Source organism: Homo sapiens, chromosome 12 (genome assembly GCF_000001405.40).
Source record: "Homo sapiens chromosome 12, GRCh38.p14 Primary Assembly".
NCBI lineage: Eukaryota > Metazoa > Chordata > Mammalia > Primates > Hominidae > Homo > Homo sapiens.
The window spans coordinates 10,030,639-10,056,750 of NC_000012.12; the positions used below are offsets into that span (position 1 = coordinate 10,030,639).

General features: G+C 38.0%; 1 protein-coding gene and 1 pseudogene across 1 annotated transcript in view; both read left to right on the forward strand.

Annotated features, from left to right (window-relative positions):
• Window positions 1–43: 43 nt before the first annotated feature.
• Window positions 44–26,112, forward strand: part of CLEC9A (C-type lectin domain containing 9A) — a 35,350-nt gene continuing 9,281 nt past the window's right edge. The window contains exons 1-5 of the mRNA NM_207345.4: window positions 44–334; window positions 10,828–10,982; window positions 21,353–21,456; window positions 21,992–22,140; window positions 23,633–23,713. Coding sequence (NP_997228.1) covers window positions 22,050–22,140; window positions 23,633–23,713 — 172 coding nt within the window. The 5' untranslated portion in view covers window positions 44–334; window positions 10,828–10,982; window positions 21,353–21,456; window positions 21,992–22,049. The remainder of the gene's footprint in view (window positions 335–10,827; window positions 10,983–21,352; window positions 21,457–21,991; window positions 22,141–23,632; window positions 23,714–26,112) is intronic.
• Window positions 10,203–15,067, forward strand: LOC100421202 (C-type lectin domain family 1 member B pseudogene; annotated as a pseudogene).

A 26,112-nucleotide genomic window follows, 5' to 3' on the forward strand; every position in this document is an offset into this window, starting at 1 on the left:
AGCTCCCACCCCAACAACCTGGAAGGGGGCGGGACTTCCGTTTGTACCCGGCTGTGGCAATCTGTGGTGAAGTTGAAATGCTTTTCTGCTAGACTGGCAACATGTTTTGATTCTTCTCAAATAACTCGCAAGCTCTTGTGAAGCACAACGGCCTACCTTGTCCTGAAGAAAACATACTCTAAGGCCCACAGATGATTAAACCCAGCCATTTATGTGACAATAGCATTTTTATTTTTCTTATCAAGATCTGGGTATTTGATCCACACAATGGTAAAGATTCCCATGTTAGCCAAGATCTAAATGATTCAAACTGATGATACTCTCTGCAGAAGAGGTAAGAACCACTGGCAGTAGGGTGGAAGGTATGTCATTACAGATGATGCTGACAGAGAAGGTCATCTGAACCTACTTTATAAGAAAGGCATGATTAAAGGAGAAAGGGGAAAGGGCATTCTAGGTTAGGAAAGATTCTGAAGAAATGTAAAATAATATGAAGGTGTGAGCTGATATATTTAAGAAATAATGAATGATATGTGGGAGTATGTATCATCTGCAGAGATGGATGAGGGAAGATGCAAGTGGAGGGGAAGGCTGGAGCCGCTGGTGGAAAGACGTTAAGTGTATTTCAATGGCCTGATACTGCAGGCAGTAGACAGCCTCTGTAAATCAGGTAGCTTCCTTACTCTTGCTCCTACTGATCCCTCAGTCTAAAATGCCCTCTGCACTTTCTCTTTAGAGATAGAGAGGGAAAGGGAGTCAAACACGAAATCTCCAGGAGGCCATCCCTGGTTATTTCTTACTCCTCTGTTGATTTCCTTTAATCTGTGAAGTGTCTTCTAACTCGTGGCCTGAGGCTTTAGTGACTCTGCTGACTCATTGTCTGGTGCTACTGATTGTGCTAATGGTCTTCGATATTGTGTCCAGTGCCCCCCACCATTTTGGGAAGAAATTGGCTTTAGTTTTTACTCAGATTGAAATTTTATTTAGAAACGGGAGTAGCAAGACCAGGTGCAGTTAGTTACACCTGTAATCCCAGCATTTTGGAAGGCCAAGGTGGGAGGATTGCTTGAAGCCAGGAGGTTGAGAAATGGGAGTAGCAACCAATGTCGGTAGAAGAAACAGCATATAATAACAGGATGTGATAAATCTCAAGAAAAGTTACGCACAAATTACTATGGCAGCAGGAACGAGTGAGCCGCCCGATGCTGTCAGTGAAGGCTCTGAGGATTGGGAAGGATTGGCAGGGTTACAGGAGACAAACAAATGCTACAAATAACATTCCAAGTAGAAGGGGAAGTGAGGGTAGGGAAAGGAATGCAGACAAGGCTGAGCCTTGTTTGGAGAGCTAAGTTCAGTGTTGCAGATGCTCAATGTCATACCTTAGGAGGGAATTGCAAATTAAAACAACAATGAGAAACCACTGTATACTATTTGAATGACTAAAATCCAAAATACTCACAACATCCAATGCTGGCAAGGATGTGGAGCAACAGGAGCATTCATTCACCGCTGGTGAGAGGTAAAAAGGCATAGCCACTTTGGAAGGCAGTGTGGCAGTTTCTTACAGAGCTAAGTATAATATTAACATACAATCTAGCAACCATAGACGCAGGACAAGAACTCGGGCAAAGACGCCACAGCCACACAGGTTTCTGAACAGAAAATCAACATCCCAAAGATCCCGTAACATAATCTATGCTCAATCTCCATCTGTATATTAAAATCCATCCACCTACCTCCTTAGGGATTTCTTTTTTTTTTTTTTTTTTTGAGACGGAGTCTCGCTTTGTCACCCAGGCTGGACTGCAGTGGCGCAATCTCGGCTCACTGCAATCTCCGCCTCCCGGGTTCACGCCATTCTTCCGCCTCAGCCTCTCGAGTAGCTGGGACTAAAGGCACCCGCCACCAAGCCTGGCTAATTTTTTTTTATTTTTAGTAGAGATGGGGTTTCACCGTGTTAGCCAGGATGGTCTCGATCTCCTAACCTCGTGATCCGCCCGCTTCGGCCTCCCAACGAGCTGGGATTACAGGTGTGAGCCACCGCGCCCGGCCAATAGGGATTTCAAGCTTGTAATTTTCTTTCTTTGGTTCGCTCTGGCACTATCAATTTCTTTTCATCTCCACTTGTTCACTCACCTTCACCTCCCAACATGGTATAATATCTCCTATGTTAAAAACAAGCAAAAGCCATCTTTTGTTTACCATGCCCCCATACACACGATTCTAATTTTCTTATATTTCTTCTTAACATTTCTCTAATTTTCTTGACAACAAAAATGTTCAAAAATCTCTCTGTGCTTACTGTTTCATCCTACTTTTCCTTTATGTTAATTAGGCTTTTTCCTTCACTATTTCTATGAAAACACTCCAGTCAAAGTCACCATTAACCTCCACATGAACACATCTAATGGCTAGTTCTCAGAATTCATCTCACGCACCAGATAAGCATTCAAAAAAAAAAAAGATTATTCCCTTTTCATAACATACATTCTTCTCTAAAATACAGTGTTCCCTAGGACACCGTTCTCTTCAATTTCCTTTTGCTTCATTCACAACCCAATCCTCCCTCAGATTTGGATTCCTCCTTAAATTAATTTAAAATGTTGTTGTGTCCCAGAATTCAGTTCTTGGTCCTCTTGTTTTTTTTTTAATTTATCCTGGGATGAACTAAATTGGATAGTACCCATAGAATGGCCAGAATGGGAATTAATCTCTTGTAACCTCATGACTTAATAGCCATACATTGATAATGTCCAAAATTATATTTCCATACCATTGCTTGATCTCCAGAACCACATATCTGACTGGATTCTTGGCATATTGACTTTGATATATTTTAGGATTTTTTAACTTAACACATCAAAAAATGAGTGACTCTTCCCAATGAGTTTCTCCATCTCGATAAATGAATATTCCATACCTACGGTTCCTCTGCCAAAAACTTGGAATCACCTTTGACTTTTCTTGCTGCTCTCACATGAATTAAACATGTCAGAAAATATTGTTCACCTTGGAAAATATGGAAGCACAGTTATTAATTATGGAAGTATTGTTGATTGAGAATACCTTAAAAGAAATGCTGAGTTAACATGATAGGAGGATTCATTCTCACTCTGTTCTTTAACAGTCTTTCCATTCTCACATCTTATGCCTGTTTCAGAGGACACTTTTAAAGTGGGGCCTAAATTGGATAGTACCCAGAGAATGGCCAGAATGACAATTAATTCAGAATTATTTACAAAAAAAGAAATAGGGAAAAATGAAGATGAAAGCCAGAGTTATCAAAGGCATAAGGGAAACAAAAATAAACTAAAAGCAGAAGAAAAATAAATGGCCACAAGGAGGAGACAGAGGATGGATATAGGATGGAATTTATTTTTAAATGTATTAATATAGTCACCCAATTAGGTGAGTATGCCTGACCAGGATAATAAAATGTCTGAATTAAAATGAAGCACTGTGAAGACAGGCTGATTGATTCAAATCCTGGATCAACACTTACTTGCCCTGTGGCTTTTGGCAAGTTACTGAGCCTCTGTGCTTTATTTTTCTTAGCAGTAAATTTGTCATAAGTTTAATGCCTACCACAAATGTAACTGATAAAAGCATATAGAAAGAGCAATAAATGGCAGCTGTCATAGTGGAAGTAAGTTTGGATTATTCTGGATTATCTTAAAAAAAGGAAGAAAGCTGGGACATTGCCCAAGCACTGACAGTGAAGCTTAAACAAACCAATTCTCATGAGCCCAACCAGGGTCTGCCTCCAGCCTGTCTGGAAGAACTCAATTATATCACTTTTCTTCATTTGTAGCACTTTTCATGATGTAAAATTATGTTGATCTTTGCTTTCGATGTAAAATTATATTGGTCTTTGCTTTCTATGTTTCTTTACTATCTGTGCTCCCCACCCTTTACTATAATACAAGCTCATTGCTTGTATGATTCATTAACGATTAGTCCCCAGAAAATAGAAACATGCCTGGGACTTCCACAGTGATCAATAAACATATGAAATGGGAAAAGTTCTCTTGTCCCCCTAGCAGAGTGTGCAATGGAGGTATGGCTCGCTTCTTCAGTGCCCCGCTACTCAGACCTCTAGGGGAGGGGCAGGCTGTGGGGCTCCGGCCCCACGGTAGTGTCTAGGAGTAAATGTTTGTATCTGAAGCCCCAGTGGGCGTGTGTTACAGGGTGCTCTTTTAGTTTAGCCGTCCATAGGTGGCTTGTGTTAGTCAGCTCAATTAGACCCCTACCTTATAGCAAGGACAGAGGCTTTCTGCATCCCAGGGTTCTTACCTTGGTGTACTGGAAGAATCAGATCACACGTGGGCTTGGAGAATGAGTGCAAGGTTTTAGTGAAAGGAAGTAGCTCTCAGCGGATGGTGGAGCCAAAAGGGTGATGGTTTTCCCCTGGAGTCTGGCCACTCAGTGGCCCAGGCTCTCCTCTGATTGTCCCGGCCAAACTCTGCCTTGTTTCACCAGTTGGTGGCCTGCCGATATGCTCTTGACGTCCAGCCACTTATGTCTTGTTCCATTGATGACTACTCTCAATGTCCAGCCACTTATGTGTCTGCCTGCTAGGGTCTTGGGGGTTTTATAGGCACAGGATGGGGACATGCGGGCCAGGATGGTCTTGGGAAATGCAACATCTGGGCATGAAGGCAGGAGTGCCTGTCCTCATCCAGGTCGGTGGGCAAAGGCCCGGGGGTGGAGCCCTCGCCAGGGATCCGCCTTTCTCTATCCAGCACTTCTCTGCCCCACTTCTGTATCACATATGTTCAAATAAATGATTAATTAATTGCCCTTGCCATGAAATTTTGTAGTAATTTTAAAGGAAAGTGCAATGGCAAATATACTTAACATACTATGAATCCTCAATTCAAATATACTTGATCAGACCACTTTCCCTCAATCAATCGCACTATTTCCCATAATCGCACTGAGTAGATTAGATGATAGTACATTTTTGTTGTTGTTATTGTTTTGTTTTTGAGACAGGGTCTGGCTCTGTCACCCAGGCTGGACTGCAGTGGCAAGATCCACGATCTCAGCTCATTGCAACCTCTGCCTCTTGGGCTCAGGTGATCCTGCCACCTCAGCCTCCCACGCAATGGAACTACAGGCGTGCGCCACCACACCCAGCTAATTTTTTAAACCATGGGTTTCACCATGTTGCACAAGGTGATCTCAAGCTCCCGGGCTCAAGCAATCCTCCCACCTTAGCCTCCAAAAGTATTGGGATTACAGGAGTTAGCCACCATGCCCGGTGCCTGGTACTGCTTTTTACAAGAAGTATACTTATTCAAACTCCCAGTTTTTATTAAGATGTTTGCCCTGCCTGATAAACATTGCCTTCTTCTTTTTCTTCTTAGGCAATATTTACCTTTCCTTCAAATACCAATGCAAATCTTAATTAATCCAACTGATTATCATTCATTCTTATTTAATTTTTACTTCCATGTTTGGTATGCAAATGCCTGATAAACTTTGTGATAGGACTGCAGTCTGACACATTTTTCCCTTCATTTTCACTACTGTTTGTCACAAATGTTCTGCCATAATTTTGGTCTGATAGTTATTAGTTGTTTGGTGTATTAACTTTTAATAAAGCTCATTCCACTTTGAAATCCACATGTTTAAGCTTTCTGTAAATGAAGGAGAAAATATTAACTATACTTTTCTATGACAGGAAATCTTACCCCTTTACAAATTAAATAGCATTTAGTATTTGTGTGAAAGCCTGGTAAGTCAAAGGCAAACCAACAATTGTAATGAAGAGGGCTGAGAGAGAGGACTGAATATCACTAATAGAAGCACCTGAGGCTTTAGCTTAAAGGTGGTAAGAAGTCTGTGAAAAGCTATGACCAATTACAAAATACTTCTTTTGTTTCTGTCTGCAGTCATAACACCCACAGTAGTCAACATCTTATTGCCCTTCTCTTCTACACATCCACAGGCCATCCCTGTATATTAATCAGTCTTATCTACAATGTTATACATTCCACTAATTTCAATTCTTACTGCATGTACTCCTTGTCATTGTTATCTTAGTATCTTTTACTCATTCTTCAGCTATACACATAGATAATAGAGTCTATGAAAGACATCAAAGTGTAGTAGAAAGAATTTACAAACTGGGTAGATGCTACTAGGTACTACTTTTTACAAGAAATACCATGATTTAAAAAGTCCCCCAAATTTCTTAAACTTCTCTTCCCATGATCAAAATCAGGATGATAATGCCCGTCATACATATATGCATTCATTCATTCAACAAATACGTATTGGGTAACACAGGAAATTCTCACTTAACATCATCAATAGATTCTTAGAAGCTGCGTAGAAACAAGGTAGAACCAAACCAACCAGCATATTTCTGGTCACAAAAACATCACCTACCTTGTAAATAAAGACTCAGAACACTTCTAAGAGTAAACATTAAAACAAATGTGAACTATACCTATTACGTACATTCAGAAAAGATGAATGAAAACAAGATAATTATATACCCAATTTTTAGTAAATCAGTGGGTGTTGGTGGTCATAGTAGTAGGTAAAATCAAGGAATAGATGTTTGCAAAGTAAAAATTGACAGAAGCACCTTCTAAACCATGCCGTTCAACAATACACAATCAGGAATAGGGCGGGCTCACTGAGCGCTTTCGAACTACATTGCTTATTTACCTGCATTTGTATAATTATTGGCTATTTTACAAATTCTTATTTTACAATAATTTGTATTCATTCATTCATTCATTTTCCCACATACTTATTTCAGCTCCGTGTCTCAGGTGGCCAGAGACCATTCAGGCAGCTCAGGGCCAAGGAGGGCACTGACTATGAAGAGGCCACCGACTATGAAGAGGCCACCATCCCATCGCAGGGCACACTCACACGCACCCGCACTCACTCACACTGGGACCATGTAGACACGCCAATTCACCTAACGTTCACATTTTGGGACATGGGAGGAAACTGGAGGACCCAGGAAAAACCCATGCAAACACGGGGAGACCGTGCAAACTCCACACAGTGGCCCCAGCTGGGAAGCAATTTTTTTTCTCAACATCGTTATAACAAAACAATCTTACATAAAAGGATGTTACTCAAGAACCTGCTTTAACTGCATGTCAGTCACTATTTTAGAGCCATGGGACATTTTCTTCTGGGGTTAAAGGACAAAAATTTTATTATCAAAGGTAACTCTATGTGTGTTGGATAGTGATCAGCGTTATGGAAAAGAGTGAAGCAAGGAAGAGGGACAAGAACGTGGGCTGGTGTGTAGTTGAGTGGGGAAGATGTCTTAAATGTTAAAAAAAAAAGTTCACATAGCCTAAGAATTAGTGAAGGAAGGGTTAAGAGTCCCTTTTGGCTAAAACAAAAGTTTCAAGAACAGAAGCTGTGGTAGGTGAATGGTAAGTGACTGGATTTACCCAGCTTACGACTGGGAACCACTGAATATTTTAACTGAGATAAAAAACTCAGTGACAAAAATGGGTTTGGGATTTTAATTTTTTTTAATTTGTAGTACTTTTAAATAATTCAGCATTTCTTGGAAATGAGCTTTTATTATTAAGAATTGGTTTTTGGTAAAAATATTTGAATCATACTAAGTTTTTGTTTCCAAAATCAGGTACTGTCTTTTTTGTTTGTTTGTTTATTCTTCACCTCATTCTCAAAATAATTTGAAGAGTGTAGAGAAAGAAATTTTAGAATGGAAGACCATTTTAAGTGAATTGACAAAGAATTCAGAGTGAAGGAGATAGCAGGGAGAAAAAAAATATGTACAAGCTATGCCAAAAGGCGTGTTAGTAAACAAAATATCTGCCACTATAACCCACATAGTTACTATATTGAGAAGTCTAACATTCTGCTAATTAGAGAAAAAAAAGAAATCAGGTCATTTATAAAGTAAAAGACTACTACTTAATTGGAAAAAGGGAAGCTTTACTGCTCATGGGGGTTTAACAACAACAACAAAATACTTCCATAAAGCTATATAAGAGCTACTCTAATGGCAAAATAGACAGCATCCTCCCCAATATTCCTACAATAAACACATCAGCTAGCTTTGTATGGCTGTTCTTATAACTACTTTCAATGCAAGCTAAAATAACTTAAAAGCTCATTTCATAAAGTTAAATGTGTGTGTGTGATTCTCCAGTTGCTGTTTATTAAAGTAGTTATAGGATGGGTGGGCATAAAACAAAACAAAACAAAAAATGCAAACACATCAGGCCTTAACAGAGAGTAATATTTCAGCTTGGAGAGGTAAAGTCCATTGGGGATGAGGATGGATGTGTGGTATGGGGGTGGGCCATGCCTATTGTTGATGATCATCAGGAGAACACAGGTGAGATCTGCCAGCAAAGCTCTTTCTATTACTTGGAGGACCCTGAGAAGGCAGGGGCAGGGGCAGGGGTGAGCCTTCCCCATAGCTAACCCATACTGCCTGCTCCTTGATGTCTTTATTATATGCCTACAATTGGCCCTGCTTCCTCCTCCTGGTGGTGTGTGATGGCTTTGATTCTGCTGATCCTGTGCATGGGGATGGTTGTCGGGCTGGTGGCTCTGGGGATTTGGTGTAAGTGTTGACTCTGCCAAAGATTTGATTGGAGGAAGGCAATACCGAAGGGTCATGGCATATCCCACTAAGCTTCTCAATGGTCACTATTTGTCTGTTTGTCACTATCCAATTGTCCTATACATAGCTGCCAAGATACTCTCAATAAAGGAGAACACTGACCTTTTCCTTGTGATCAAAATAGCTAAGTTTTTTATTAATTAAAAGTATTTTTAAGAATTTACTACTGGCTTTTAAGAACTCCTCAGTGTGGATCCAAACTATTTTTAAAAACTATTTTGTCCCTCTTCCTATCTTGCATATCCTAAGAATCAGCCAAAATGGAGTTTTTCAATTTCATATGTAAATCCTATGTTCCCCTGTCTGAAATCTTTCTCATTCTATTCTCTCTACCTAAAATTTGCGTCATCCCACTTTGTTTACTAAAATATTGTGCTTTTTTCCTCCAGGAAATCTCACAGTCCTCCAGTGGCACATTGTAGTCTGCGTAGCTGTTGCTTGTTTGTATATTTGTTGATTTTTCATGAGATATTTTAGAATCTTTCATTTATCATCTTTTATTTCTTCGTTATTTACCTAATTATCACAAGTACTTTATTTATTTATTTATTTATTTATTTGAAACAAAGTTCCGCTCTTTCACCCAGGCTGGAGTTGCAGAGGTGCTATTTTGGCTCACTGCAAACTCTACCTCCCAGGTCTGAGAGATTCTCATGCCTTAGCCTCCCGAGTAGCTGGCATTACAGGTGTGCACCACCACAGCTGGCTAAGTTGTGTATTTTTAGTAGAGACAAAGTTTCGCCACGTTGGCCAGGCTGGTCTCGAACTCCTGGCCTCAAGTGATGTGCCAGCCTCGGCCTCTCAAAGTTCTGGGATTATAGGCATGAGTCACCTTGCCCAATCTTATCACAAGTACTTTAACCATAACAAGAAATTAGTATGCATTTTAAAATAAATGAATAGTTTGGCATCACACAAGGAACAGAAAATGAGTTCCTTCACCTCTCTGAACTCAGCTGAGAATCCTGTATTCAAGAAAATGTCAACAACCACTTTGGGCATGTTATTGATCTAGGGATCTTTTTTATTTGTGATTGTCTCCTTCAAACAGTTCACTTATTAACCCTCAGGTGTCAGTTTTGTGTATTTTTAAATTTGTTCTTTATAGCCCCTTCACTCTTTTCAACACTGATTTAATCACGTGTATCTAGTAAACTCTTCATACATTGGCAATTTTTTTTTTTTTTTTGAGATGGAGTCTTGCTCTGTCGCCCAGGCTGGAGTGCGGTGGCGCCATCTCGGCTCACTGTAAGTTCCGCCTCCCAGGTTCACGCCATTCTCCTGCCTCAGCCTCCCGAGTAGCGGGGACTACAGGCGCCCGCCACCACACCCGGCTAATTTTTTGTATTTTTAGTAGAGATGGGGTTTCACCGTATTAGCCAGGATGGTCTCCATCTCCTTACCTCGTGATCCGCCCGCCTCAGCCTCCCAAAGTGCTGGGATTACAGGCATGAGCCACCGCACCCGGCCTATTGGCAATTTTAATGAAATGAAAATTCAACAAAAAATATTTGCATCATTCCTATAATTCTGATTACAAAATGTTATTATTTATTTTTTACATCTAGCTGTCATGCAGCAAAATTACCTACAAGTTGAGAATGAAAATCTCTCAGGAACTCTGCAACAATTAGCAAAGCACTTCTGCCAATATGTAATAAAACAATCAGAACAAAAGGGCGGCTGGGTGTGGTGGCTCACGCCTGTAATCCCAGCATTTTTGGAGGCCGACACGGGCGGATCCTCTGAGGTTAGGAGTTCGAGACCAGCCAGGACAACATGGTGAAACCCTGTCTCTACTAAAAATACAAAAAAAATTAGCCAGACAGGGTGGTGGGTGCCTGTAATCCCAGCTACTCGGGAGGCTGAGGCAGGAGAATCACTTAAACCCGGGAGGTGAAGGTTGCAGTGAGCCAAGATCGTGCCACTGCACTCCAGCCAGAGCCACAGAGTGAGACTCAGTCAAAAACAACAACAACAAAAACAAAAAACAAACAAACAAAAAAAAACAGAAGGGCACTTTTAGTAGGTATTGTTTTTTTAACGTCTTCATTTCTCCAACCCCTGGAGCATTTCTCTGATGGTAACTGAAGGGAGTCTTGGGATCTGCAGAATACATGGAATGTAGGGAAAATGTAATTCCAATTTAAAAACAACAACAACATTCCTGTGCTTGGTTTCTCCAGGTGACTATAAACGCAGCCCCTGTGATGCCAACTGGACATATTATGGAGATAGCTGCTATGGGTTCTTCAAACACAACTTGACATGGAAAGAGAGTGAGCAGTACTGCACTGACATGAAGGCTACTCTCCTGAAGACTGACAACCAGAACATTCTGGTAAGAAGATTCTTATGTCAAATATTTTGGAGGCAAGGGAGAAAACTCTCAAATGTAACATTTGACCTTTTTTGTTTTTTACATTTTTCTTAACATCTTTCAGTTTGTACTAATCTAAGAACTTTATGAAACCTAGTAAGAATTACAGAACCCAAATATTCAATCCAGTCATAATATTCTACAACATTGCTAGAGTTGATTGGTCAAATTGACTTGTCCCTTCCTGACAGCTCAGGTACATAGTGGGTCACACATGAAGAGTCAGCCCAGTGATGTTCTTGATCATTTGTGTCCTGTGTTGTTCTAACTTGCTGCACTGCGCACTTACTGTTTTTGTGGGCTCAGACTCATACAGGAGATATCCAGTTAAATTAATTAGCTTTTCTTTCCACTCCAACAAAATAAGAGAATTTCCTAAAATCTCAGCTCTATTACAAAAAGATTAATTGAAGACATATATGTATATCCTGAATTTGTATTACTCTAGGCTGGTGCCAGTTTAAAGATTTATAACTAAAAGTATTCATGCAATTTTTTTGAGAAAATAGAAAGGTATAGTTGAATTTCAAGTAGAATTTATCTGTCAGGTTCTGTAGGGAAGTATATAATGTTGATATATTCTAAAGAAAAGATTAGGAGGAGTAAGAGTAAGGTTACTAGTGGCTTAAGCTTTTAGAAATAAGCAGTCAAATGTGACTGTCACACAATAGCTCCTGTGGAATGCCATTCTGAGTCTTTCATATCTGTCAAGAACCTCAAGTCACTTCCTATTTGCCAACAATGCATTCTCACTTGTTATTTTGGGAGGTGTGAGAGTATATAAACATTTGTCCTCCATTTAATTTTCCTACTCATATATTGATTGATTTACCTATTCCTTCATTAATTCAACAAATATGTGCTGAAACTATTCCAGGACTTGGACCTATGCAGTTAATAAAACAGAAAAAATAATCCTTAAGCTCAAGGAGCATAGATTTTAATTGAAGCAACAGCCAAGAAGCCAAACAAATAACATACTATACAGTATAGTAGGTAGTGATTATTGCTAACTAGAGAAAAGTAAACCAGGAAAGGTAGATGTATGTTATTAATAAATCCCTTTGAGAAAGACATTATGTACTCCTTTACTCAACTAAAACAAATTAATACTTCTATAGGGAACATTTTATAGGCAAGCTAAGCAATAAAACCAAACCATGTAGAGTTTTAAATCTAAGGAATATAAAGCTCACCAATAATGTATTTCTTTGTGTTTTCTTTCTCTGTTCACATTTATTCCTTTGAGTCATGTTTGGTAGTCTGAAAGTATAATCCTCAATTGATTGAAGATATAAATATATGTTATAAACACATAGGAACATTAGAATTTCAGCTATTTTGTGTACAATTTTACCTGCATCCTACAAGCTTTTTTAAGTTCTAAGACAAGTGAAATTGGCACAGATTCAAATATCAAATGAAATACATTAATATAGACATGTAATCCAACTTTTTTTTTTGTCCAGGGTCTTATCATAAAGCTTTGTCTTTATGTCATTATCAACAGCTGTGGAGGGATTCTGACCATTGTGTTTATTTATGTTTACAATAGGAATACATCAAAGCCAGGACTGGTTTAATTCATTGGGTCAGATTATCCCACCAGAACTCTAATGAGGTCTGTAAGTGGGAGATGGCTCAGTTCTCTAAAAAAATATGTAAGTCCCCGACACTCAGAATAGAAAGTAATACTAGAAACTTATTCTTGAGATCCGCTCTCATCTCAGTCCAAGTCACTTAATAATTGAAATGTGTCTCTATAACCTACTATGGGTTATATAATCAGCAGCTGAGTCACTTACTCCCTACTTCAAACAAGAGAGCACTGGTCATAAGACAATTCTACCTTCCCCTCTCCCATTCTTAAACTCTTTATCTAAGCCACAACCCATTTTTATACCTGATATTATTCCCATTCATTTCTATATTAATCTTTACCATGGAACAGTGTGTGTGTGTGTGTGTGTGTGTGTGTCTTTAAATTGCTCTGATTCTCTGCATATATATGTATATATATATATATATATAGACAGAGAGAGAGATGGAGTCTCGCTCTATCACCAGGCTGGAGTGCAGTGGTGCGATCTTGGCTCAATGCAACCTCCACCTCCTGGGTTCAAGTGAGTCTCATGCCTCAGCCTCCTGAGCAGCTGGGATTACAGGCACGCGCCACCACACCAGCTAATTTTTGTATTTTTAGTAGAGATCGGGTTTCAGCATCTTGGCCAGAATGGTCTCCCTCTCCTGACCTCATGATCCGCCTGCCTCAGCCTCCCAAAGTGCTGGCATTACAGGCATAAGCCACCGCGCCTGGCCCTCTCCATATATTTTTTAAACAAAATTTCATCCTTATTTTGTTACAGTTGAAAGTTGTAAACTTGAGAGTCTTTTGACTTTTCGGTGGCATTTTGCCTACTCTTCTATCCTTCAAGTCTCCAAGAATTAGATACATTGGGGTTCACAAGATAATTCCAATGTCCATTAGTGAAGCTCTATCCTTCTACACATGATGCAGGCAAATAGGCTGTTAGCACCAGGTTGTGAACTTTTGTCACTTCCTATGTGGTTTTCCAATGTCCAGTCTCAACATCTTTTGTCCATCCTATATATCAAAACTGCAGTCTCTCTCCAATTAAAATGTAAATGGATAACCAAATCTTGTACAATATGATCATTACTTGCACCATTAATTATTTAATAAATATTTAGGAAGTATTTACTATAGGTAGGATCTCAGGATACTACAGCTACAACTCTTCACAGACCATGGGCTTTATCTCCTATTACTTGCTGCCTCATTCACAATATTGCAGACAAATTAGTGGGGTTTTTTTTATTCTTCCAACAAATCAAACTCGTTTTTTTATCTCAAGACTTTTGCATTTGCTATTTTCTTCTCCTAGAATGCTCTGCCTCCACAACTCCATGACTGTTTCCTTCTTGTGAATCAAGTCTCTATTTAAACATCACTTCTTCAATGAGGCTAAGTCTAATTACCCAAACTAAATTAGCTTCCCTTCAGCCCACATCCACACAGTCTACCACTGTTTTGTTTCTTTGTAACTTTACCACTGTCAGAAATTTTCTTGTCTATTTGTGGGCTTCTTACTGGCATCACCCCACTGAAATGGAAGTTCCCCAACAGGAAAGCCCTTGGCTTTCTTGCCTTTCTGTACCAGTCTATCCTCAGCCCATAGAACAACTTTGTCACATAGTTATGTAGATATATGCCAAATAAACTAATAAATATATATTCCTTGTCCTCTCGTGATAAACGGTCTAGAAGAGAATAAAGATAAGTTAACAGCCATTACAATACAGCATGCTGTCTTAGATCATCTATCCTGTAACATAAATCCTCAGCTCAAAAATATTGAATCAACTCACTTTTCCATGAACCTATTCCCATCCATTGCAGATACTTGTCCTGTCCATCTCCTGTCTCCTGTCCCATCCATTGCAGCTCTTTGTCCTGTTCATCTAAATCCTGCCCTTCCATCAATACCAACTAAAGTCTGATCTTGTAGATAAAGCCTTTTCCCATTATTTCAGAGCTATCTCAATCTCTTCTTTGGGGCTCCTATTGTACTAGTGTTCCCTTGCTCCTTAATCTTATGCTACATGAAACTGCTACTGAGCTTTTCAGATATACATACCTTGTACTACCAAGCAGGTTGGGAGCTACTCAACAATGAGAAACTTTTTTTTTTACTGTTTTCCCCAGAGTCTCCATTTTGTGCATCAAAATACTATACACAGAGTTTGATTGTTGATTGTTTCCTTAGTTTTTGAAGGAATTTATTCTACCTTTCCCATTCACAGGTTTGGGCTTTCTGAAGATGGAAAAGGAAATATGAATTGTGCCTATTTTCATAATCAGAAAAGGCACTCTACCTTCTGTGAGAACAAACATTATTTAATGTGTGAGAGGAAAGCTGGCATGGCCAAGGTGGACCAGCTACCTTAATGCAAGGAAAGGGGCAGGATATCACAGATAAGGGCTTTATTGCCCAATAAAAGTTCTGAATGAAGAAATCAATAGCCATAAATTGGTTATTTCTTCCTTTCTTCCTTTGATGTCATTTTTAGTATTATCTTTACTACCAGAATCACTTACCTACTCCCTTCTTTGAATATCCAGAACCCAACATGTAAATTGATCACTTGCTTCTCAATCATTCTACTTTCCCTTAATTTTCTTTCTTCTTGTCTAATTTCTAATTACCTGAATATAATATGATTTACTGCATCTTCATATATACACATATAAGATTAAAATCAGGACAATATAGATTAGTGCTTAATTAAGTTGGGCAAAATATCGAAGCTTAAAATGTGTGCAGAATATCTAAGTTTGAAAGATAGCGTGACGTAACAAAAAGAATACTAAACTTGGAATTGGTAGAATAATTTAGATAATGTCACTTAAAGTACAATCATGAACAAGTCACATAGATTTTTTAACTTCCATTTTCTCATACTTGAAATAGGAATAATACATCCTCCATTTATACCTCACAGTTCTACAACTTAAAATAAAACTTTGTAGTGTTAATTATACCAGAAACTTTACAAGAACAGGCACTGTGACTTTTGCATTTACTATTGTATTACCATCGCCAACCCCAGATCCTGGCTTACAGGAAACAGAGAGACATTACACAAATACAATTACTATTCCAAGTTCATTTCTGGTTAGACTCAACAGCAGTAATTTTTTGTGCAAAAGAAGGAAAAGAAAGTTTGTAACAAAGCTCATGGGGTTTGTAAAATGAATAAATGCTTCTCAACAAGGCCCAGAGGCTACTACACAGAAGGACATGTTAAAATGCTTTATTTAGGTCTTTTCCTAACAGCTCTATGCTTGCTTCTTGCTGAATAACTCAGCAAGTATTTATAGAATACATGGAAAGGCACCGTTTCACAGGATAATAGGCAAAAATTGCATTTCTTTCCCACAGCTTCCCTTCTTTAACTAGTGAATACAATTTATAAACATGATTCTCAAGCGTCTCAACTGAGGTGTTGGTTAAAACATGGAGATGTTCAAACACAAATGCTGACGTTAGTGGGAAGGCTGAGGACACACAGAGACGTGGGTTTTTACAAGCACCATGACATAATTCTTGTAGAGGTAGTCTTTAATACAGTTAGAGAAATATCACTACTTTAGAACTTACTCTCTGTATGGCTTTGGATAAGTAATTTAGTGTCTTTAAAACTCTATTTCCTCATCTATGAAATGGGTTTAATATTTTGACCTTGCTCATAGGTAATTGTAAACCTCATTTAATATGACTATATAAAGTACTGATCAGAATACCAAGCATGTAATACATACTCAATAAGTGTGTTACTCTTAAAGCTTTGTGCACTAACACTTAAAGACACTTGAATCTTTATCTTTTTTCTAGACTATCAATAAACAAGCAGATTTGGAGGGCTTAGGAAAAATAACAGAAACACCTCAAATGTTACTTGCTACTTCAAATGTCTACAGATCTTGGATTTGGAGTGAATGTATTATTATTTTCTTATTTTTAACTGTTTATTTAGAGAAACCAAATAGGAACTAATAATTCAGAACACTATCCAAAAATTAGCCATAACTTTGGCTTTTGTTTCGTCTCCCAAAAATGGAAAAGCATATGTTCATACATCACTATGGCACACATAAATTTAGAAGGATAGTATTTTAGTGCATGGCAACAATACAATTTAAAAATGTAAGCCAATCAAACTGTGCCTACAAAGATTTTTTTCCTGGTATTCATATCTAAAGCATCTTACACATGGAATCAAAATAACACAAATGTTAGTAGCACAAATCAGAACACTTCATTCCAAATACTTAATCTTCTACATATTATCTAAGTGAACTTAGCAAAATTCGACTCCTCTGTGTTTCAAATTACAACTAAGTTACAAGCATACCTCAGAAGTATTGTAGACTCAGTTCCAGACCACCACAATAAAGCAATTATTGCAATAAAGTAAGTCACACTAATTATTTGGCTTCCTAATGCATATACAAGTGATATTTGCCCTAAACTGTCGCCTATTGAGTACACAATAGCACTATGTCTACAAATGCACATACTTTAATTTAAAAACACAATACTGTATTGCTAAAAATGCTAACGATTACCTGAGTCTTTAATGAGTGGAAACCTTTTAGCTGGTAGAGGGTCGTGCCTTGACGTTGATGGATGCTGACTGATCAGAGTGGTGGTTGCTGAAGGATGGGGTAGATGCAGATGCGGCTATTTTTAAAATAAGACAACAGTGGGCTGGGCGCGGTGGCTCACGCCCTGTAATCCCAGCACTTTGGGAGGCCGAGGCGGGTGGATCATGAGGTCAGGAGATCGAGACCATCCTGGCTAACAAGGTGAAACCCCGTCTCTACTAAAAATACAAAAAATTAGCCGGGCGCGGTGGCGGGCGCCTGTAGTCCCAGCTACTCGGGAGGCTGAGGCAGGAGAATGGCGTGAACCCGGGAAGCGGAGCTTGCAGTGAGCCGAGATTGCGCCACTGCAGTCCGCAGTCCGGCCTGGGCGACAGAGCGAGACTCCGTCTCAAAAAAAAAAAAAAATTAGCTGGGCGTGGTGGTGCACGCATGTAGTCCCAGCTACTTGGGAGGCGGAGGTTGCAGTGAGCCGAGATCGCGACACTACAGTCCAGCCTGGTGACAGAGTGAGATTCCGAAAAAAAAAAAAAAAAAGACAACAGTGAAGTTTGTGGCATCAATTCATTCTTCCTTTTATGAAATTTTTATCTGTAGCATGAAATCATGTGAAATAGCATTTTACCCATAGTAAACTTCTTTCAAAATTGGAGTCAATCCTCTCAAATCCTGCTACTGCTTTAAAAACTAAGTTTATGCAGTATTTGAAATCCTTTGTTATTATTTCAACAATGTTCACAGCGTGTTCACCAGGAGTAATATTTGTCTCAAGAAACCATTTTATTTGCTCATCCATAGGAAGCAGCTCCTCATCTGTTCAAGTTTCCTGGTGAGATTGCATCAACTCAGCCACATCTTCAGCCTCCACTTCCAATTCTAGTTCTCTTGCTATTTCTAGCACATCTGCAGTTACTTCCGCCACTGAGGTCTTGAATCTCTCAAAGTCATCCATGAGGGTTGGAGTCAACTTCTTCCAAGCGCCTGTTAATGTTGATACTTTGACTCCTTCCATGAATCACAAATCTTCTCAGTGACATCTAGAATAGTAAATCCTTTCCAGGTGGTTTTCAATTTACTTTGCTCTGATATATCAGAAGAATCACTATCCATGGCAGTGATAGCCTTATGAAATTTATTTCTTAAAGAATAAGACTTGAAAGTCAAAATTACTCCTTGATCCATTGGTTGCAGAAATGGAGGCTGTGTTAGCAGGAATGAAAACATTAATATCCTGGTACATCTTCATCGGAGCTCTAGAGTGAATAGAGGGATTGTCAATGAGCAGTAATATTTTGAGAAAAAAAAAAGGTTTTTTTTTCTGAGCAGTAGTTCTCAACAGTGAGCTTAAAATGCTCAGTAAACAATGCTATAAACAAATGTGCTGTCATCCAGACTTTGTTGTTTTACTTATAGAGAATAGGCAGGGTATATTTAGGATAATTCTTAAGGTCTCTAGGGCTTTTGAAATGATAATTGACTATTGGCTTTAACTTAAATCACCAGCTGCATTAGCCCCTAACAATAGAGTCAGCTTGTCCTTTGAAGCTTTCAAGCCTGCCATTGACTTTTCCTCTCCAGCTATAAAAGTCCTAGATGTCATCTTTCCAATACAAAGCTGTTTCATCTACACTAAAAATCTGTTGTTTAATGTAGCAACCTTCAATTATCTTAGCTTTATCTTCTGGATAACATTCTCCAGTTTCTAAATCAGTATTTGCCGCTTCATCTTTCGTTTTTTTGTTAGAGATGGGTTCTTTCCTTAAACCTCATGGACCAACCTCTGCTAGCTTCCAATTTTTCTTCTGCAACTTCCTTACCTCTCTCACTCATCACAGAATTGAAAAGAGTTAGGGCTTTGCTCTGAATTAGGCTTTGGCTTAAGAGAATGCTGTAATTGGCTTGATCTTCTATCTAGACCACTAAGCTTTCTCCATATTAGCAATAAGGCTATCTTGCTTTCTTATTACTTGTATGTTCACTGGAGCAGCACTTTTAATTTCCTTCTAGAATGTTTCCTTTACATTCACAACTTGGCTAGCTGTTTTACATAATAAGCCTAGCTTTTGGTTTATCTTTGCTGTTGACATGTCTTCCTCACTAAACTTAATCATTTTTAACTTTTGATTTAAAGTGAGAGACATGCAACTCTTTCCCTCAACTCTTACAGGCCTTTGTAGCATTATTAATTGACCTATTTTTAATATTGTTAGGTCTCAGGGAATATAAGGAGGCTCAAGGAAAAGGTACAGAGATGATGGAACAGCCAGTTGGTGGAACAGTCAGAACATACACAGTATTTATTGATATTTATCAATTAAGTTAACCATCTTATATGGGTATATAGTTCATGGTGGGTCCCCCAAACAATTATAACAGTAACATCAAAGATCACCGTAACAGGTAATAATAATGAAAAGTTTTGAAATATTATGAGAATTACCAATATGTGACACAGAGGCATAAAGTAACCATATGTTGTTGGAAAAAATGGCACTGATAGGATTGCTTGACACAGAGTTGCCGCAAATCTTCACTTTTTAAAAAATGCAGTATCTGCAAAGCGCAATAATGCAAAGCTCAATAAAACAAGATATGCCTGTACTCTATACTAATGATAGTGCCTATTTCATTGAGCTATTGGTAATAATCAAAATAATTCATGTATAAGTTCTTGAAAATAGTACTCGGAATATAATTAGCAATAAGTAAAGGTACGATTAAAAACATCAAAAGTAATAAAAGGAACATATTAGTCCTTCATTGGGAGAAGCCAATGGCTCCATACAATGAAATTTATCAGGGAATGTTCTATATTTGGGGAAAAGGAGTCTTTCTGAGCCTGATTTTTAGTGCTGATAAAATTTGAGAACAATTGGAAATTAATGACAACTTAAGCTTCTGTTACTGTGTTCCTAACATTAGTCTCAATGTACATTTGGTATGCTTATGATTTCTTCCTCTGTTTCTCCTCAAGATAGAAGTGATCCTACTTTAAGGCTATGTGGGATTAGGTTACATTAATTTTCAGATTCGAATCTCAGGTCACATGAGCATCATATAAAATATTGAAGAATGGGGCCAGGCACAGTGGTTCACGCTTATAATCCCAGCACTTTGGGAGGCCGAGGAAGGCGGATCACCTGAGGTCAGGAGTTTGAGACCAGCCTGGCCAACATAGTGAAACCCTGTCTCTACTAAAAATACAAAAATTAGCCGGGCGTGGTGGCGGGTGCCTGTCATCCCAGCTACTTGGGAAGCTGAGGCAGGAGAATTGCTCGAACCCAGGAGGCAGAGGTTGCAGTGAGCCGAGATAGGGCCACAGCACTCCAGCCTGGGCGACAAGAGTGAAACTCTGTCTAAAAAAAAAAAAAAATGAATAAATAAATTAAATAAATAAAATTTGCTGGATATTCTCTTCAGTTGCCCCTGGGGATTCTCTCAGTTCCAACCTGTGCTTTGAGAGGCTGAGCTCAAATGAACGCATTATCAGGGCAAACAAACTTGGCCCCTGGCTTCTAGTTAATTGAGCCAATAGAAGGCAGTGGTGATCAGGGCTCTTGTCAGGCAGGTCATGCAGTTCCAATAAACATTTTCAACTTAATTCTTCAGGTGACCTGACAGCTTCCCAGTGCATATGTCACACCCCTTTTTGGTTCCCTTAACACTTCCCGAAACTTTATATACAGTCCTTTAATTAAATGCCCTTAGATTACCCCTTGAGTATGCCATTTGTTTCCTTCTGGGGGCCTGATTGCTAGGGAGAAGACTGATGAATCCAGTGAGATACTGAAACAAAAGTAAACAGTGTAATTTTGCATATTATTGGGACTCATAGACTATATTACTTAGACATAACCTTTGGCCATAAAGATAAGTGGTCAAATGATGAATGATGATTAAAGTCTCAAATTTCTGATGCTATAGTCGCAAGATGTGGCAGAAATGCTAAATAATTCATGCTTTCCTTCTAGAGTGAAGTGGTCATCAAGAGCTTGCTGTGCAGGCAAAAAATACATTTTTCAAGCTCAAACCTTATGTCCAAAAGTGGGCATGCCTTTGGTGGATGTGAATGTGAGACATGCTATTCTAGGTTATAGCTTTCAAGAGCAGGTGTGGATTCATCACCTTCTCTTTTCTTTTCCAGTGGATAGAAGTCAAGGGCTCCAATGTCTCCCAAGACGAAAGAATCCCAAGTCTCATTTGGAGGAATGCTATCACTAACTAGGATTCCTGGAGCTAAAACATTATGTAAGATGCAAACTTTTATTGTGTTAAGTACTGATATTTTGAGGTTTATTTATCACAGTAAGTAGCATTACACTAACAGATATACAGTATGTAAATTTATTTTAAGGTTGAAATCCCTTCCTAGCTTTGTTGTTTAAGGCTACCCAGTGATCTCCCACCCTTTACACCGTGGTTTGCCCAATGTGAGTTATCTTTATATCTTCACTATCTAGGTCACCCCACGCTTCATCTCCTATACCAAATGCAAGTGCGTTCTTTGCACTTACATCTTTTTCTTCTGAACTCACTGCTATCACCTTCAACATCTGCTACATTTTGGAAACCGGATAAAAAAATGTTCTATCATTGGCCATTCTAAATTCAGTTCTCTCTCATTTCCTTTTTCACCAAGTTGTGTTTTGGCTTAGACTTCATAAACTTCCACTTTCTGAATGAAGGTGCATCTATTCTACTCCTTAAACACAAACATATTTTCCCACTACTGTGAAAATGTAACCAATTTCAGTTCTTACACCAACCTGCTCCAAACCACAAGAGGAGTTACTTGTTCCAGCCTCCTGTGTGGACTGCTTTCCTATCAAAGCACCTTAGACATGCACGAGGAAGAAATATACACCTCTCTTCAGTGGGATAGCCCAGCACCAGACACTTACCAGAAATGTCTGTCTTCCAACAAATGTTCAGGTAACCAGTTCTAACTATTTTGTGTGAGACTTTAGAGTTCATGTTTTTTTTTTTTTTCTGCTCTATCATGAGGCCAAGATGTTTATTCTAATCCGAGATAATCTACCTAAGGGTACTGTAATGTCCGTGAAATGCTAATGAAGTGGAGAAGGATTAAGTAACGGTGAAAAATAAAGAGAGCAATACACGTGATAAACGTGCGGAACTATTTTTTCCTCTGCCTCTCTAGAAAAGAAAAGCAATACCTAGATTTGGGAAATACGTGAAAAAAATACAACTTCAATTAATTGAACTCCTACTAAAACATTCTGCAAATTATCTGATAAATACTAAGAAATAAAAAAGAGAAAACATAGGTTGAAAAACTGGCAAGATCTCATTGGCCTAGAGTTGTTGGCTATAGTGATTAGTTCTGTCTGTATCGTTTAATATCTATGTTAATTCCTGTCTGCTGGTGTAACCAATCACACAGACTTAGGGGATTAACAGAACGTAAATTTATTATCTTAGGGCTCTAGATGTCACAAGCTGAAATGGATTTCAATGGGCTGAAACCAAGGTGTTGGCAGGGATCGAGTGGAAGACTCTATCCCTTGTCTTTTCTGGTTTCTAGAGCTGGATTTATTGCTTTCCTTGGCTCATGGACCCTTCTTCTGTCTTGAAAGCCAACAACATAACCTCTTTAAATGTTTCTCAGCCTCCATTATCATGCCATGCTCTGTCCCTCCAATATCCTACCTCTCATTTAAAAGGGATCCAGATAATTCAGGCTAATCTTCCCATCCCAAATCCTTAACTTAATGACTTCTTCAAAGTCCCTTTTCCACATAAGGTAACTCACAAGTCCCAGGAATTATGACACTGGCATGTTAGGCAGGGGCATTTCTCTGCCTATCACAATATTCAAAGATAAATTTTAACTATTTTTCTCTGATTAGTGTTTTGAATACAAAAAATCACATATTCCTTTTTTTTTTCCTCTCTGCAGGGTTGTAAAGTTACCTTGGAAAACTTGTTCGTCTTCCAAAAAATGTATATTTAAAAGTATATATTTAAAATGTGTATCTTTCTTTTCTTTAATCATGTTCAAGTAACACTGAAGAGATGGGGAGATGTGAGACAGCATTTTTTATCTCAAAACATAAAGCCAGCATTTGGCTTGGGGGAATCTCTAAAAGATTGTTGGAAAAGAATACATATAATTAGTTTGTTTAAGGTGTGACATCAAAGATAAGGATAACAGAAGTATACTATTAAATCTACTTAATTTGGCAGTATCCATATCACATATATTCCAAGTTATGAGTTGTATTTCAGTGCATTTGAGCAAAGGTTCTCTTTTTCCTTTTCTTTTACACATCCCAGGCCCCAACAACTCTCAGTAGAAATGCCAATGTTAATTCCTTCTTTTACTCAATCTCAATCTATCCTTGCCCCGTCTTTTTTATCTGCTTTCTCTAACTCGGTATCATTTTTCCTATTCTGTGGTTAGGAGCATGCTGTCTTGTGATGGTGATTTCATGTGTTTTCTGCATGGGATTATTAACAGCATCCATTTTCTTGGGCGTCAAGTGTAAGTACTAAAAGATATTTTCAAAATATGTATATCGTTATATATAAAACTTCATAATTTATAAATGGATGGAAAATCAATTCATATGTGAATGCACATAAATGATATAAAATAATGGCCTCAAATTTCAATCATTTGATAGAACTCTCTGAGCACTTGGATGCCACTGATAACTTTCAATGATCTATTGCATGTTTTTTAACTCAAATCATGTGCTATAGGTCTCTGGGAGAAACAATGAAAATAATAACATATTCTGATTCCATTTGTGAGTCATGTTAACATGCTAAAGCATGCAATTTGAAAGATTTCACATTCTGCTTTTCTGTTTCTAATATACATTTAAATTAAATTTGACTTTTAAAGATTATTTATATTAGGCAAGTTTCAATTTAAAATGTTTAATGCAAACCTGAGAGCTTCGTTCGACCACATTTAACCACATTGCTTTTTAGTCCAAATAGAAGACATACTTTTATGTTTGGCAAGTGAAATTTTTATAAAATATAATAATTACAGAGCTTCAGATTCCAGAAAAAGAACAATGAACCTCTAACATCACTCATGCTACCACTAAGAAAAATGTAGATGTTTCTTTCTTATATGCCTTTGCAAATCATATCTCTATCTAAAAGACATCAGCTGGAGAGGAAGAATTATGAACTCTGAGAATAAGGAAGGGAAAGGTTCAGATTCGCATTCACAAAGTATAGGAAGTTTGACCTTGCTTAGGTAATGTCATGAGCTTCATTTTCTGCTGGTTTTTAGAGGAACGTTTTAAGAATTGCCAAGAGCTTAATCAGTAATTGTTACTTCGTCTGTCTCCTCAAATAAAGTTTCACAGCTTAACAGAAATGTTAGAACTTCAAGACAGCTTTCTTTTTCTCTATCTACTCTCTTTGGGTCTTATTAAAAAATACATATTTTAGACAAATGTGAGTTCGCTTTTTAAGAAGCACACATATTAAATACCTGTGGAAACAATTTATATTTAAAAGACCAGTTCAGTCAATTAACATCTAATAATCCACCTTCTTCTGTAAAAATTGAGGACTTTAAATGACACATTGCCAAACTTCATTGTAACTCTACAATAGAAGAATCCATATTTAACTTGCATTGCAAATATCAAAAAATATTCTTTAAATGTTAATTCTATATAATGAATTTCAATGTTATTTTACAAATGATAATGATTTGGGGTAATAAGATTTTAAAACTTAACATATAAAATCATTTCCAATTACAAACAAAATTAACTGAAGATGCAACATCTTGAAGCACTGTTGTCAAGTGAATGGGATATATAATTTGGTTTTTATATAAACATAAATCTATAGTCTCCAATTGCCAAATATTTTGTCTACTATATAGACAAAAATCATATACTACATAATAAGGATGATTATAAAAGTACACTTTAGGCCAGGCGTGGTGGCTCATGCCTGTAATCCCAGCACTTTGGGAGGCCGAGGTGGGCGGATTGCCTGAGGTCAGGAGTTCAAGACCAGTCTGGCCAACATGGTGAAACATCATCTCTACTAAAAATGCAAAAAAATTAGCCGGGAGTGGTGGGGTGCGCCTGTAATCCTAGCTACTCCGGAGGCTGAGGAAGGGGAATTGCTTGAACCAGGGAGGTGGAGGTTGCAGTGAGCCAAGATTGTACCACTGCACTCCAGCCTGGGTGACAGAGTGAGACTCTGTCTCAAAAAAAAAAAAAAAAAAAAAAAAAAGATACACTCTACATTTTCCATGTTGTCAAAAGATTTGCTGTTCAGTGTATACCTAAGTGTCTTCTCCATCTAGTAAACGAAATCTTATATGAAACCTATAAATCATGTTCCTAAGATAGTGAATTATTTTAAACTGTATTAACTGTGACCCAGCAGTACTACTTTTGGAAATTGTACCTATAGATAAACCTGCAATTTAACAATAGGGGAAAAGCCTCAAATACCCACCACATTGATAAGAGACCATGTTAATAAATAATGGTACATCATCTATACAATAGAATACCTTGAAGCAAGAACAACAAAAGAAAGAAGAAACACTTCTGTATGTAAAGTGCAAAAAAGCAGCATTTAAAACCTGGCTGATGAGATCAATTGTACCCCAAACATCAGCATCATGTACCTGAGTAACAAACCTGCACATGTACCCCCTGAATCTAAATAAAAGCTGAAATTATTTTTTAAATGTATATGCTATGTTACAATTTGATTAAGAATGAACATTTTCTTGAATTTAAACAAACAATGGAAGGTTATATAAGAAATACTAAAAGTGAGGGCAAGAGAAGTGAGATAAATAGTGACGATGAGGAGAAAAATATATTTCAATGTTTACTTTTCGGATTTTTTTAAATGTTTTAATCCTATGAATGTAGTATATATTTA